Source organism: Homo sapiens, chromosome 10 (assembly GCF_000001405.40).
Source record: "Homo sapiens chromosome 10, GRCh38.p14 Primary Assembly".
Classification (NCBI taxonomy): domain Eukaryota; kingdom Metazoa; phylum Chordata; class Mammalia; order Primates; family Hominidae; genus Homo; species Homo sapiens.
Genome location: NC_000010.11, coordinates 49,305,870 through 49,321,152, shown reverse-complemented (window position 1 = coordinate 49,321,152; position 15,283 = coordinate 49,305,870). Strand labels below are relative to the sequence as shown.

Sequence of the window (15,283 nt, the reverse complement as noted above, 5' to 3'; positions counted from 1 at the left end):
TGTACAGCAGGTGTCTGTAGTTAACAATACTGTGTTATGTGCTTGAAATTTGCTGAGGATAGATATTATGTTAAATGCTCTTATCACACATACACAAATAATAAATAAAAGCGGTGGGAGGAAATGTTTGGAGGTGATGGATAGTTTTATGCATGGATTGTGGTGATGGCTTCATGGGGTGCATACTTATCTCCAAGTTCATCAAACTGTACACATTAAATATGTGTGGCTTTTTGTATGCCAATCATACCTCAATAAAATGGCTTAAAAAAAGACAGTCCCTTGAGGAAGAGGAACTTCCGCCTTTGGATCATCTTTGGATTGGAGCTGTGTCATCAACTCTTCCTGGGTCTCCAGCTATTCCCATTTTGGACTTGCCAGCCTTCACAATCACTCCAGCCAGTTCCTTAAAATAAATCACTCCCTCTCTATAGCCACATATCCTATTGGTTCTGATCTTCTGCAGAATCAGACCCATACAGTGCCTGAAGTTCAGTGGTGTTTTTGCAGAGTCCTTCCCTGATATTCCATGGGTGTTCCCTCCTTGCTCATCTCTCTCACTGTGCATGGTTTATTTTCTTCATGGTACCAAGCATGATCGAAGATTAAGTTTACATCTTTGTGGCCTATCCCATGATTAGACTGTCAGTGCCAGGCATATGGGGACTGCTGGGTTGTCTGTTCGCTGATTGCCCCTCATCCCAGAACCACCCTAAGAGGATATGCTCCCCAGAGTCTGCATCACCTGGGCCCCTTACCTCTGGGACCAGCCTGTGGGGGTGGCCAGTAGAGGTGCTGGCAGGAGCCTGGTGGGAGGGGGAGCCAGTGTCCCTGGCATTTCTCCACTCCTCCTGCCTTGTGACATGGGGACCACAATCCTCTATAGCTATGGCCCCTCCCCCAGTCTCTGACTGGGCTCCAGCAACATGCCCCTTGTGCCCAACTCTACATCCCTGGGGACTCCCTAATTCTCTGTTACCTCTGTTATAGCCCTTTCCTTTTTTAAGTGGCAAAATACACATAATATAAACATTTCATTTGAATTAATTTTAAGATACAACTCAGTAGTGTTAAATATATTCGTATGTTCATGCAATCAATCTCCAGGACTCTTTCATCTTTCAAAACTGAAACTCTTTACCCATTAAGCAACAACTTACCATTTCCCCTCCCCCCTGGAAGCCACCATTTGACTTTTTGTCTTTATGAATTTGATGACTCCAGGAAGCTCATAAAAGTGCAATCATACAGTATTTATCTTTCTGTGACTGGCTTATTTCTCTAGCATAATGTCCTTGAGGTTTATCTGTGTTGTAGCATGTGCCAGAATTTCATTTTCAAGGCTGAATAATATTCCACTATATATGTGTGTGTGTGTGTGATATACATATACATATACACCCACATATATGTATGTGTATATATATATATATATATATATATATATATATATATATATATATATATATAGCTTGTGTGTGTGTACATATATATACACCACGTTTTGCTTATCCATTCCTCCATTGATGAACACTTGGGTTGTTTCCAAATTTTGGCTATTGTGAAAAATGTTGCCACAAATGTAGGTGTGCAAATATCTCTCAAAGACCCTGCTTTCAATTCTTTTGGGTATAACCCCAGAAGTGGAATTGCTGGATTATATGGTTGTTCTATTTTTAAATTTTTAAGGAACTTCTAGACTGTTTTCCATAGTGGCTGTACCAATTTTCATTTCAACCAAGATTGTGCAAGTGTTCCAGTTTCTCCACATCCTTGCAACACTTGTTATTTTCTGCTTTTTTTTTTTCTTTTTGAAAGTACCCATCCTGGTGGGTGCATGGTGCTACATAACATTCTCTTGTGGATCCTGTCTGAGGATGCTGCTTCCTTCTGGAATACTTACGGCTTCCCCTGGCACACATACCTCCCATTGCCTAGAACATTGCCTGGCCTGGGGGAGGGGATAAGAGAATGGGTACATAAAAAGTTACATAAAATAGCAAGTATTGACCCCAGAGTGGATGCAAGTGAGGGGTGTCTGGAAGAGTGGACATCTGGCAGGGTGCTGTTAAGTGTTCAGCTGGCAGATCAAACACTGCCAGAGAACTCCCATTCACAGCAGCAGAGCTGAGCAGGCTATGCTCTCCCCTCCTTGCTTGGCTGGCCTTAGTCACTGCCAGAGCTCCAGGGGATGGATGGTGAAGGCACTCCCATCAGGGAGGCCTGGCCACATGTCAGAAGCCCCAGATCCTGCCTGGCTCCACATCCCCTTGCTGAGTGACCATGGGCTGGCCACAAGCAGCCTCAGTGCATCTCTCTCATCTGTATCTGTGCTGTGAGATTGCAACCATTCTTTGTTTCTGTAGAGTGGGGATCATGTGTCCTCACTGCAAGGTTCCAGGAGGTTAGGGGTAGCATCCTGGCATAGGCTCAAAGCTGCTGGGCTGTCAGTAATGTTTGTCTTTAATCCTGGAGGCCAGGCTTCATTGGGGTCTGTTGTTTCCGTCCCTTGACCACAACACTCTGGTGAGTTAGCAAAGCTGATTCATTGGCAGACTGACTGGTTTCTGTGAAAGACAGAACTAAGCTGGAGAAAGGATGGGACCTGAGTTCTAGTGGACTGAATGAGCTGACGAGTAGCTACTGACCTGCTCTGGGAAGGCCTCTCTGCACATGCTCCTCAGCCCTACCTTGAAAGGCAGGCTGCTGGCTCCCTGGAAAGTACACACTCATGACAGCATATGCTTTTTAGAAGGCTGCATACAAGGGGAGAGCATCAGCCCACGTGATGGGTTGGGGAGACCCTGAGGGCTGGCTAAGCCCACGCCTTCCCCAGTAGAAGACACATGCTCCGGTCTTCAGACTCCCATGCAGCTAGCATGGCCAGAGGACATGGCTGTGGTCACAGGGATGGAAGCAGCCAGCAGTCTGTGAAAGTTCCTGCCTTTCTAATCAAAGGAGCAATTTCTGTTGTCTCCGCTGTGTCAGTGCTCTTCTTCCTGCCTTGAATGCAGACAAGAAGCCAGAAACTGCTTGATTTCTTTGCTGGGGCTGCCGTAACAAATGATGGCTCAAACATTGAAAATGTATTGCCGCACAGTTCTGGAGGCTAGAAGTCCAAAATCGAGGTGTCACAAGGTTGGTTCCTTATGAGGGCTGTAAGGAAGAATCGATCCTAGCCTTTCTCATTGGCTTGAGGACACCCGTCTTCTCCCTGTGTCTTCACATCATCTTCCCTCTATGCTTGTCTCTCTGTCCACATTTTTCCTTTTTAAAACCTTTTAAAATTTTCCAATTATTAAAAAAAAATTTTTCATTCTGTCACCCAGGCTGGAGTGTAGTGGCGTAATCATAGCTTACTGCAGCCTCAATCTTTTGGACTCAAGTGATCTTCCCACCTTGGCCTACCAAGTAGCTGGGATTACAGGTGCATTACACCATACCTGGCTAATTTTTCTATTTTTTGTATAAATGGAGTTTCACCATGTTGTTCTGGCTTGTCTTGAACTCCCAGGCTCAAGTAATCTGTCCACCTTTGCCTCCCAAAGTGTTGGGATTATAGTCATAAGCCACTGCGCTCTGCCCAAATTTTCCCTTTTCATAAGGACACCAGTCATACTGGATTAGGGCCCACCTTAATAACCTCGTCTTTAAGTACAATACGTCTGTAACAGCCTTATTTCCAAAAGGTCATACTCTGAGGTAATGAGAGTTACGATTTTTTTTAGAGGGTGCATGATTCAACCATAATATTGAATTCACTTTGCAGCCCTGAGAGACAAGCAATGGCCACTGAAGGCCAATCTGCAGAGGATGGCAGTGTGGACAGGTGAGGAGCCCAGGTCCTGGCCAGCACTGCTAAGCCATGAGCCCACGGCAGCACCATCCCACTTGAATTTATGTTATTGAGGCTGGTGTGGGGTTTGATGGAACCTGAGTGGCTTTGACCACTATGAGTCAGGTTTTCTGTATCCTGAGATCCTGTCAAAATGGTGAGGAGTCTCCTGATGTCCTAAATGCTGGGATTCCGATCTTGGCAATGGCTGAACTCAGTAATATTGGGGGTTTCTACACTTTGAATGAAAATAAGATAGTTTTCATTAAGATGAAAATCGGTTAGTTGGAGACCTAAATTTAGAAGCTTAGATAGAGTCAACCAAGCAGTCTCTACCCAATTAAACACACCCTCGTATTAGTAGGTATTCACTATTTGTTTTTTGAATACTCAGCTTGCATCTTCTGAGAAAAAGCACTTGATACCTTGTGGGAAATTTCCTCTCCCCTTGGTTTTCAGTCTTGGTGGGGCTGAAAGTCAAGGTGCCTGCAGAGGCTCCCGAGGGCCAAGAGCAGGTGTGAGACCGAGGACAGGCCCATGGACTGTAGCAATTCTCCTGGAGCTACACAAGGACGGAAGTGTGCTCAGGCTTCCTTGCTGGTGGTGGAGCTTTCACTACGCTCTGGGACATGCCTGGCCCCTGACATTTCCTGGCCTGGAACTTTAGCTGTCACCTTGAGGCTACAAGACCTCCATTTTTCTTTTAATACATATGAATTTCTGCCTCATTTGTTGAGTTTCTGCTTCTGTTGCTTGTGGCTGAAGAACCCTACCTGATCCTGGGTTTATATCCTCATTCTAAACAGTGGTGAAGGATGTTCATTGATCTTCAGAGCATTCAGAAAATAACCACATTACTTCTGCCTCAGGAAAAAGAGAGACTCCCTCCCCATGTTGCTAGCTTTATTCAGATAATTTCTTCAGTTCTGATTTGATATACCTGGGGTCAGATGGAAAGTCAGAGACTTGACCTCATTCTCCCCCCACCCCCAGCCCCCATGGTACCTTTCAGCATAATGGCCAAAAACAGAAGGTGTTTCTAGATGCCTACTCTTAGATTAGTTCCATACCTGTTACAGCACTGGAAGCTGCAGGTGCCTGCCGTGCTGGGTTTCAGGATCTGTAGTTTTAAAACGTCTTTTTATGCTTATATTTGGTGTCATCACTGCCCATCTGGAAAGAAGAAAAATAATTTCAGTGGAACCCAACTGACCAAAGGGCCAAGCGCAAGTTCATTGGAAAAAGTATCTTTTATATTTTTTGAGACAGGGTCTTGCTCTATTGCCCAGGTTGGAGCGCAGTGGTGTGATCTTGGCCCATTGCAACATCTGCCTCCTGGGTTCAAGCAATTCTCCTTCCTCAGCCACCCAAGTAGCTGGGATTACAGGTGTGCACCACTATGCCCAGCTAAGTTTTGTATTTTTGGTAGTAATGGGGTTTCACCATATTGGCCAGGCTGGTCTCGAACTCCTGACCTCAAGTGATCTGCCTGCCTTGGCCTCCCAAAGTTCTGGGATTACAGGGGTGAACCGTCATGCCTGACCCAAAGTATCTTTAAATGTCAGTTATACAACGATGTAGTTGGCCTTCAAAAATGAAAAACAATCCATACTTGAGCTCAACAAAGTTCCAAAAATAGGCATATTTGACCATAAGGTCAATTTATATCCCTTCTAATATGCATTAATTTGTCCATGGCCCAAGACATTTTTAGAAACCTCTTTTAAGCCTTTCAGTTTTCTAATATGATTGACCCAGTTGTGAATTATTTTTTTGCAAATAAAATCTGACTCAAGGCCCTTTTCCCACTGAACTGGGTTTTGCAGCAAAGAGAACTGGAGCAGTGAAAGTCAAGTCCACTCAGCAAGTGGCAGCACAGTGTTAGATTCATTGTTGGCAGGAGGCTTGAGTCTTCTGACAGCTAAAAGAACCAAAAAGCTGCCCAGGAGGATATTCAGAATGCTCAGAATGAATAGTGAACTAATTAAAATAAATCCACTCTGCACATTTTAAATGCAAACCTTTGGGGTTTCCATAAGACCTTTCCCAGCTTGTAGCTCCTGGATATTAATCTAGTTCAAGGTAGTTTATTAATAATATTAATAATCATAATTGCTTGAATTGGTGGTGTCTATTTCTTTGGAGAATCACAGAGGTGCTCTGTGTCTACCACCATACGGCGAGGCCCCATCCCTGACTCCCCAGGCTGGCTTAGATGGGCCTCCTTCGTGTTCCCAAAGCATACTGGGTTTACCTTTTCCATAGCTCAGCTCTGTTGTCACTTCATACATCGTGACCCATATGTTTCAGGAACTGATGATCGCTGCTTTCCCTCCTCACTAGAAAGGAAGTTCCTTGAACCAAGGAAGGGAGTCTTGTATACTGAACTCAATAAATGGAAGCTCAGTCACTGTTTGTGGTAATGCTCTGAATTGGGTTATCTTTATTCTGATTTTTTTCCTGGAGGGCAAACTGAGGCACAGAAAAGAAGGGAAAAGATAATAGGAATTTTGTTGAGAAAGACTCCTGGCCTTGGGTCTTATGGCCTTCCAAAAAATTCAGATCAGCCCATTTGCATCTCTAAATAATAAGGCCACTCCCCTGCCCACAGCTCCACTGAGATCTGACTTAGGGATGAGGATGAAACCCATCTGGTGCCACACATGGATGAGACGGAGGTGCAGAACGACATAATGGCATTTATTTTGTGAATGGTTAGGGCACCCCTCACCCTGTGCTTGGGCTTTCCCCCTAGGCAGTTGCCTCATGGACTCACTGACATTGCTGCTGGCATGAATTTTCCAGATGCCAGTGAAAAAACTCTCTTGCTTACCACTTTGAACCATTTGAAGGAAGCCACTCTGAACTGGTGAAAATTCTTGCTCATAGAGCACTTTGCCAGTGAAAAGGTGTGTTCCCTTCAGGCAGCATGAAGGAGGATACAGTGCACATGGCAGGGCCATGTTTTAAACAAGATCTTGGAACCTGGTCATGAATGCATAGAAATAAACATCGATATTTAATTATGACCTGGTCAGTTCCTATTTAAGTCTGTGGCCTTCAAAGACTGTTCTCTTAAATGCTTCATATCTCCCCTCTACCTCCATTATTTCTTTACCCATTTCACTCGGCCTTTAATGTCTGGCCCCCACTCCTTCCTGATGGATGTTCTGATGGCATTTTTGCTCCTCATCTGACTGAACTTCTAGGCTGCAATCTAGACTCGTGGCCATTGTCTACTTAAGATACTCTTTCACTTTGACCTTTCCTTCTCCCCTCCCTGTCTGGATGTTTAGTCTCTTCCTCTCCTTGACTGCTGGATTTCCTCTGCTCCCAGCCCTGGAGCCTCTTCTCTTCTCACTCTACAGTCACCACGCAGGCGATTGTCCCCACACCATGGTCCCCGCAAACATCCACGCACTGAGGCAGCGTCCAGGCCAGGCCATTTGCCTGGCTGCAGTCCACGCCTCCGCCCACCCACCAGGCAACTCGGTGCCCCTGTCTCACAGCCCTTCCAACCCACATGTTTAAAGCAGAGTCCATGAGCCTTCTGCAAGCCAGCTTTCTCCCTGGGGACCTCAGAAACCTGACGTCACCTTCGACTTCCTCCTCCTCCTCCTCCCAGTGCCTTTCCCTTTGACATCCATTTCCTAGTTCCCATGAGTTTCATCTCTGAAGGTCTCTTCCTTACACACCAGTCTCCATCTCCACGGTCATTGTGTGGACCAAGCTGCTCTCTCAAATCCTTGGGCCACTGCAGCAGCCCATTCCTGCCCTGCACCAAGAGGCTGCTTTCAACACTCAAACTTGTTCATATCAACATTTTGCTTAGAATCTCTCGATGGCTTTCCAGTTTTAAGGAATGAAGATCAATCTCCTTAACACAGATCCTCTCTTTCCAAACACACCTTGCTCCATCTTTCCCCTCATGCTTGGCTTTCCAACCAACCTGGTCCTTGTCCAGCTTCATGCCACCCTACTTCCTGCCTCAGGGCCTCTGCTCATGGTGTTCCCTCTGCCTGGACTTTTTTACTTCCATCCTTTCATCATTACTGGGTTAACTCCAACATGTGCTTCAGAGCCCAGTTCACATGTCCCTTTGATGATGCAGCTTCTTCAGGCTATTCCAAGGCTGCCCGTTACATCCCTTTATCATGGGCTATACCCATCATTTTGCAGCACTTACCATAATTATAATTAAGCATTTAACTGGGTGATTTGTTGTTAAATGTTTGTCCCTCCTGCTAGCCTGAGTGTTTATTGGTGGCGGGGTCCATGTCTGTTTCTTTTTCATGCAGCATAGTGCACAGTGCAAGCAATATCTGTTAAATAAATGAGAAAACCCTTCCACCTGTCATGATATTACTCACACTTTTGACAGGCTTAGCAGAACTTATTTTATTGACAGTCAATTATAATCCTATAATCACAGAATTATCACAAATTTCAAATTAGTGAATTTGAATCCAAGTGGATTTTATTTACTTTTTGATTCAAAACCCCTCAAATATGTAAAATTCCCCCCATGGTAAGAGATGGAAGCAGGTGGACGGGATTGTTCTTAGAGACTGTTGACAAGCTGGCTCCAGGGAAGGTGTCCCTCAGCAGCGTGGCATGTACTGTGTATGTCTGGATTGCGTTTCTGTCAGGGGGAGATGAAAAGAGACTTCATCGTGACTTCACCATTTCCCAGTTGGTCTCTCACACTGCTCTCAGTGCTCTAAGTTGGGGAGTGGCTTTGATGCCTTCTGGAGGGCCAGCGTCCAGCAAACTTTTGTTGAGTACATTACCTGGGGCTCTGTTTACAGCCACAGTGTGAATGGTCATTAAGTGATGCGTTATCTAAATTATAGGGTCAGTGGATGAAATGCTGGCTTTGCCCTCTGCCTCCAGGCAATTGTGCAGGACTCAACAGCGCCATGTTCTGCAGACCTCCAGCACTTCCTCCACTGACCCAGGCCAAACTTGCATCAGATGGAGAAGGTTCTGCAAAACACCAGAGCACACTAGGGGAAACAGGATCCCTGGGCAGGAATTTAAAAATGGACTCTCCATTTGAGCCCCTGGAGAAGAGCGAAGGGTCTGCCATGCCCACTGTGAATATGTGCATGGGTGAACTGGTAGTGCCCTGTAGCCTTGGAGCCCTGAGAATTACACTCAAGGATGTGTATTTTCTTCTCCTTATTGTAGGGTCATCTTTTTGAATCAGACTACATCAAACAAACTCAATCTGAACATGTATCCCCATGAATCAGCTTTTCCTTGAGATAAGCACCGAAATACCCTTTGCACAGTCATTGCTAAATTCTAACTCTTCCAAAATGTTTTCTCACATGATGCTTTTTTTCCATGCCATGCCTCATGATGCTGTTATTATTGACTGGGATGTGCTGCTTTTTGCGGATACAATTCTCTCCCCCTCCTAATCCTTTACAAATGCCTATGCAGACCCTCAAGTCCCTCTTGGCAGGGGAGCTCTGCCTGCTCCCACACCCTCCTTCCTCCAGGCCTGTGGTGCCCTGTGCCAGGGAGGGGCAGGACCCATGTGTCCTGGACTAGATCCCTCAAGTAATAGTCCCTCTTCCTGGAATGTCTCTTCTGTCCTCAGCCACAACTGCTGACAACTTCCTCCTCTGTTCTGTTCCTCGTAGAATCTTTTCTTCCCTTTTTATCACTTACATTGCTTTATTCTTCCTGCACTGCGGTGAATCTATCTCTCCCACTAGACTTTGAGATCCTTGGTGTGAGGTCCCTGGCTTGGTTCATCTTTTACCTACAGGGTGCCTGGTGCACCCTGCTCACTGGGAAATGTTTTCAGCTCTGGTTGTTGAGTGTACTTCTTGGACCCTGGGATGTAATGACAGAGGTTTACTGCAGTGTGCAAAGGGACAGAGGTCCATGTTGCCCTTGTCTTCCTCGGGGCTCCTGGCTGGCAGCCAACCCAGGCCTGAGAAGGTCATGCAGTCCAACTTCCGCTGATCTATCCCAGACCCTCATGTGTCCCAGGTTGTAAGGACGGGAAGTGTAGGGGAGAAGACTCACAACTCCTACATGCCAAGCCCTATTGCAGGTGTCCCCCACATAACTGAGGAGCTTGTCAGGTCCATAGGACCAGAGCCCCACTGGGTGACGCTGGAGGTCCCAACTCAGGGACCACAATCACCCATGAGGAGAGACAAAGTGCCCTCAGAGGGAGGACCCAGATATTCCATGTCTCACAGCTGGTGAGTGACAGAGTGGGCTTGGGGCCGGGTCTTGGTGGTCCTGGGGACACTGCACAGAGGGAACAGTTGGTGGTCTGGCATGGTCGGGCTGCTAGATTGAGCAAATTAAAAATACAGGACACTGAGTGAAATGTGAATTTCAAATAAACAATAAATACTTTTTTAGTGTAAGTGTATCCCACGCAATATGTGGGATACACTCATACTAACAAAATTATTCATTATCTGAAATTCAAATTCCACTGGACGACGACTTCCTCCTCTTCTTCTTCTTCATCATCATCATCATCACCATCATCATCATCATCATCATCATCTGGCTACCTGAGGGTCTCACCAACTTTTAGCACTCAAAGTGGATCACAATCAGAGGAAGCCAATGCAGTGAGTCAATACTGGGATGACACAGTGACAGTCACGGCTCATGTGTATGCATCACCCTGTAGTTCATGACACATTTCAGCATCCGTGATCTTGTTTGATTCTCATGACTCCTCTGAGGCAGGTTGAGTGGCCTTGTCACCATCTCCTAGGTTGAGAAACAAAGGCACAGAGAGGTGCAGGATGTTGCTCAGTGCCACACAGCATGTAAAGACAGGGAAGAACTGGGGACGAGTCAGCCTGGGCTCACCACCTTACCACCTTCTGCTTTCTCCAGGAGGAAACCCTGAACCTCTGGCCTGTGGATTCAGGCTTCCTTAGGCGTGTCCTGGGAGGTGTTGCCAGCCCCGCTTATGGCTCATGGGCTGGAGTTCATGGGAGAATTGGTGTCTCTGGGGGAGAAAACGAGGGTTTCATTTCACTTTCACGTCATGTAATAAGGATCTTCTCAGCTGAGTTCTCCCAGACATCCACAGAAGTGAAACTTTTGATTCAGCCTGTAAACATGAGTCCTTCCTGTTTGGGGAGGGCTCTGGTGCTGCGGGAGGCTCAGGCAGCTGGGCTCTGCAGAGCTGGGGGCTCCCCTGCAGGCCCAAGGTGCACCCCTGAGCTGCTGAAGATATGTTCCATTTTCCTCCTCATCCCTGCCCATCTTTCCACAGGAAGCCACTGGGGTTTGCTTTGTTGCTGGGTTTGACCACTTGCCGGTAGTGTGGTTTTTGAGCCCAAGATCTTCGGGTGAATTTAATTACCTTAATTGAATGGTGCTTTCACTTCTTAGAGAAGGGGAAACAGGAAGACAGTGGAGATGGCAGGGGTTGGCTTTATCACACCCAGAAGGCTCTAACAAATTGGAATTGATTCCTCTTGCTCTTCTTTCTGGGTTGGTTTTCTGAGCCATCGACTCAGGCATGTGTGACGAGCAGTTCAGTGGAGTGAAGTGTGACAACTCCTCCCTGTCTATGCACAGCCTGGAGCCCTGCTCACAGATGGTCCTCCATCCACAGATGCACAGCACACACAGCCTCCACCACCCCACGCCACAGGGTGCCTTGCTGGTCAGTTTTGGGCCAAGCTCTCGACCTCTCTGTGCAATTCTAACAGCCCTCTTGCTTTAGAGGGGAATGTCCTTGTCTATGGTCTATGCTTTATGAGGAGAATGTCTTAGCTTGAACTAAAATATCATAGGCTAGGAGGCTTAAAATCGACATTTACTCCTCACAGTTCTGGAGGCTGGAAAGTCCAAGATCAAGGCACTGGCAGATCTGGTTTCTGGTGAGGGCCCTCTTCCTGGATTGTAAATGGACACTTGCTTGTTGTATTCTCATACAGCAGAGAGAGAGAGAGTGAGTGTGCACATGTATTAGCAAGCCCTTTTGTGTCTCTTCTTATAAGGGCACTGATCCTATCACAGGGGACCCACCCTCATGACCTAATTACTTCCCATAGGCCCCATCTCCTAATACCATTCCACTGGGGTAATCTCAGTGAATTTTGGAGCACACACATTCAGCCCATAGCAGCCAACAGTGAAATGGCAAAATTTACTTCCTCAGTTGAAGTCCTTCAGGTGAGGGCAGCAGACACGTGTTGAGTGTCTGTGAAGCAGCAGGTCGACCCCTGCACCTGCCCGTGCTCACTTATTCCTTGATAACACTTGGCATGATAGGCTCCCCTCATCATCTTACAGCTGATGAAACTGAGCTGTGACTGGCTAGGTCAATCGCTGGTCCCTTGCTTAAGGCCTGGGAGTGCTGAGCAGGGCCTCACCCAGTCCTCGGCCTCTGTGCCCTGCTCTCTGGCCCCAGGTTGATGCCTCCTCAGCATCTCCCATGTGGGGCTCGCTGTGTCTTTGTAACCCCTTTTACTTTTGGAAATCAGAAATTATAAGTTCATTTAGACTCCTAGAAGAAAGCGTAAGATCTCGTAAGCGTGACTTAAGCTTATTTATGTATTGATCCATTCAACAACTACTTATTGAACACCTGCTTCACGTCACCAGTTTTGGTGCTGGAGATATAGCCATGTGCAGGGCTGACCCGGGCCCTCTCCTCACGTAACTGGATGGATCCTGGGAAGTTACTGCTTTGTAAAAGCACAATTACCTCTGATTGCCTTAGATTGGCTTCCACTGGGCAGTGCCTCTTATGTGTGTAAAGCAGAGATTTGATATACATAAGGGTCATTGTGCATCCAGTCTGGCCATTTTGGCTCCACTAGCCTGATATTTGGCACATGGGAGAGGGGTGTCAGCCTGCAGCCTGGCCTGGCTTGACTGGACCCAAACTCAGGTTATAGCCTGGGAAAGCCAAAGGCTCTCAAACTGACTCTGAGGCCACTGTGCCCTGGGAGAGAACAAGTTTGGCTTTGGCCAGCCCCAGGAACATGATGTGGTTGGGTGCCATGATGGCAGTGTTGGCCTGGTGGGAGTCTGAATCTTCTACAACCACATTACATGTGCAGGAGCCTCTAAATCTTGTAGCAGGTAGAAGTCCAGGATGCCCCAGGGGTTGTGGTTGAAGAAACCAGCTTGCCTGGGCTTGTCAAACCCACAGAACTGGATGTGAGCAGGGGGTAGCAGGGGCTGCTGCCCTCTGGGGAGAGACTGGAGGAGTGATGCTTTCTCTGTGAGCTCAGCCCAGCCTGAAGCTGACTTCTGGCCTGGGTAGCCAGTCTGCCATGTCTGGATGGGTCATTCCCCAGAAGCTTCCAAGTGCTGCTCAGACCCAGGGCTGTGCCTACAGTTGAGGCCAGGGAACAAGGCACAGGGAAGGCCGGGCTTGGTCTAACCCAGGACATGAGGGTGACCAATACCTGGCATCACAGACCCAGGGAGGGACCCTTATGGCAGGAGAAATGAGAAGTCACAGGAGAAAAGAAGAGAGGAGGAGAATGGGACTGGGTTCAAGCAGTCTCCCACAAACCTGTCCCCTCCTGGTTCCTGTTCCCTGATGACCAGGGCAGGCCAAGCGATGTTTAATAACCAGCTCTCTGGGGCAAAAAGCACTGGATTTGTAGCACTGGCTAATTTCTTGCTGCCTCCCTGATATCCCAGGCAGAGTTGGGACGAGGTGTGCTCAGTGGGCCTTGCAGGGTGCAGGGGGCTCTGGTGCGCCTCTGCATCCCAGCAGGCTCCGGAGCTCGCACTGCTTAAACTTGGGTAGAGTCTCACTCCACAAAGGCTAACCTGCGAGCTGTCAGCAGCACCTCTTTGCGCAGTTTCTGACCGCTTCTGGAGGTGGAGCATTATGGAGGATCACTCCTTGGAACTCCTGGTGGCCAGATGGGCTGGACTCAGCCAGACACCGTCTCTGGACAGTCCCTTCCACTAGGAAGGAGCTCAGGCCTGGCACTGCCAGCTGCTCCACGACACTCTCTCAGGTGTTCTCTGCAGACCTCAAGGGGCCCAGCCTCAGCAGCCAGATGCTCCCTAAGCAAAGAGCCCTTGGCTTCTCCTCGTGAGCTCAGAGGTGCCCTTGGCTTCTCCTGGCGAGCTCAGAGGTGCCCTTGGCGTCTCCTTGTGAGCTCAGAGGTGCTTTATAGGAGCAGCCATGCTGGCATCACAGGTAAAAGTAGGAGCAGGAAAGATCTGGAAGGGAGAGCATGTGATCCCAAACAACTCTGTTCACCCTGTCTTCCTATCCCAGGGTTGGGTGAGTGCCAGTCCTGCTCCACTGCCCAGGAGGGGAGTTGCCTGAGAGGCAGAGATTTTGGGAGAAAGCAGGGTCAGCCTGGCAGCCATGGTTCTGCTGCTCATCCTTCTTACCCTTGCACCTCCTTGTTGCACCCAACCCAAACTGCAGGGCCACCCCCACTGCCAGGCCAGCTGCTGGAGAAGGGACACATGGCTCCTTCAGGAGCTCTGGGGCCATGTGAATGGTGGGTCCCCCTGGGATCTGGGCACAGGTCCTCGTGCTGCTCTGTGCCCTTTAGCCATGGTTGCTGAGTACAACCGTGCTTGAGGGACATGGCATGTGAGAGCCTTTCTCATCTGCAAGTAAGTGGACCCCATGCCATGCACCTGGCACAGGTGCTCCCAATAGACTTTCTAAGTCCCCACATCACTGGCACTGCCCAAGTCTCTGGCCAAAATCACCCCTGGCTGAGAACTGCTGTTAGAGAATCAGGGAGGGAGCACTAGCCCAGCACCAGGCTCTTCCTGCCTTCACTCATTCATGTATTCACTTGCTCTTCCCCTCCACATTTCCTAGGAACATCTTGCCCTGGATTCTGGAAATGGCAGGACCTGACATGAGAGTCATCAAATAGGCAGTACCAGCAGTGCGAAGAGCGGAGACCCAGCTCTAAAGTGCTGTTGTCATGGGTGTCACTTAACTGCTACACCTGGAAAAAAGGGATAATAAAAATCAGCCCGGCTGTGCCCGCCCCTGGGACTGCCCACTCCCAAGGTTGCTCCCCATGCTGGACACAGGAATTTTCATGGAATCGGTCCCTGTGGCAGGCACTGCTTGAGAGTCTCTCGATGCTGGAGTCAGCCAAACCACCAGGTCCTGGATCCCCACCACAGCAGGGAGGACGCCTGGACTAGAAGGAGGTTCAGAAGGCCCTGACCATTGCAGCCCCGTGCCTCACCTGCCAGGTCGACAGGGAGCGAGTGAATGGCATACACATCCTCCTCTCCGTGTCTCCACAGAGCAGAGGTTTCTCCTCTACATGTAGTAAGAAATGCATTTACATCATGGCACAGAACATGCTTGGAGACATATGTATCATGGAAAACCAGACAAAGCAAAGCTTACCCTTCTTATATGTACTGCTCCATCCTAATCTAATCTATTCGTTCATTTAAAAAACCTCTTCACAACTTAGTGATTTCAGGACT

The 15,283-nt window shown here is 48.0% G+C and overlaps 1 protein-coding gene across 6 annotated transcripts in view, besides 1 other annotated feature; it reads right to left on the bottom strand.

The window, feature by feature from the left end:
• Nucleotides 1-15,283, bottom strand: part of C10orf71 (chromosome 10 open reading frame 71) — a 30,443-nt gene that overhangs the window by 6,340 nt on the left and 8,820 nt on the right. For all 6 annotated transcript variants that reach the window (XM_005269478.5, XM_005269477.4, XM_047424549.1 and 3 more), the window contains exon 2: nucleotides 4,906-5,008. The gene's annotated coding sequence lies outside the window, so the exon portion shown is untranslated. The remainder of the gene's footprint in view (nucleotides 1-4,905; nucleotides 5,009-15,283) is intronic.
• Nucleotides 12,996-13,045: a silencer, noted in NCBI's record as "silent region_2361". NCBI's record gives its function as "represses an Ori minimal core promoter by ATAC-STARR-seq in GM12878 lymphoblastoid cells {active_cell/tissue: GM12878}" and the evidence as "EXISTENCE:reporter gene assay evidence [ECO:0000049][PMID:35858748]".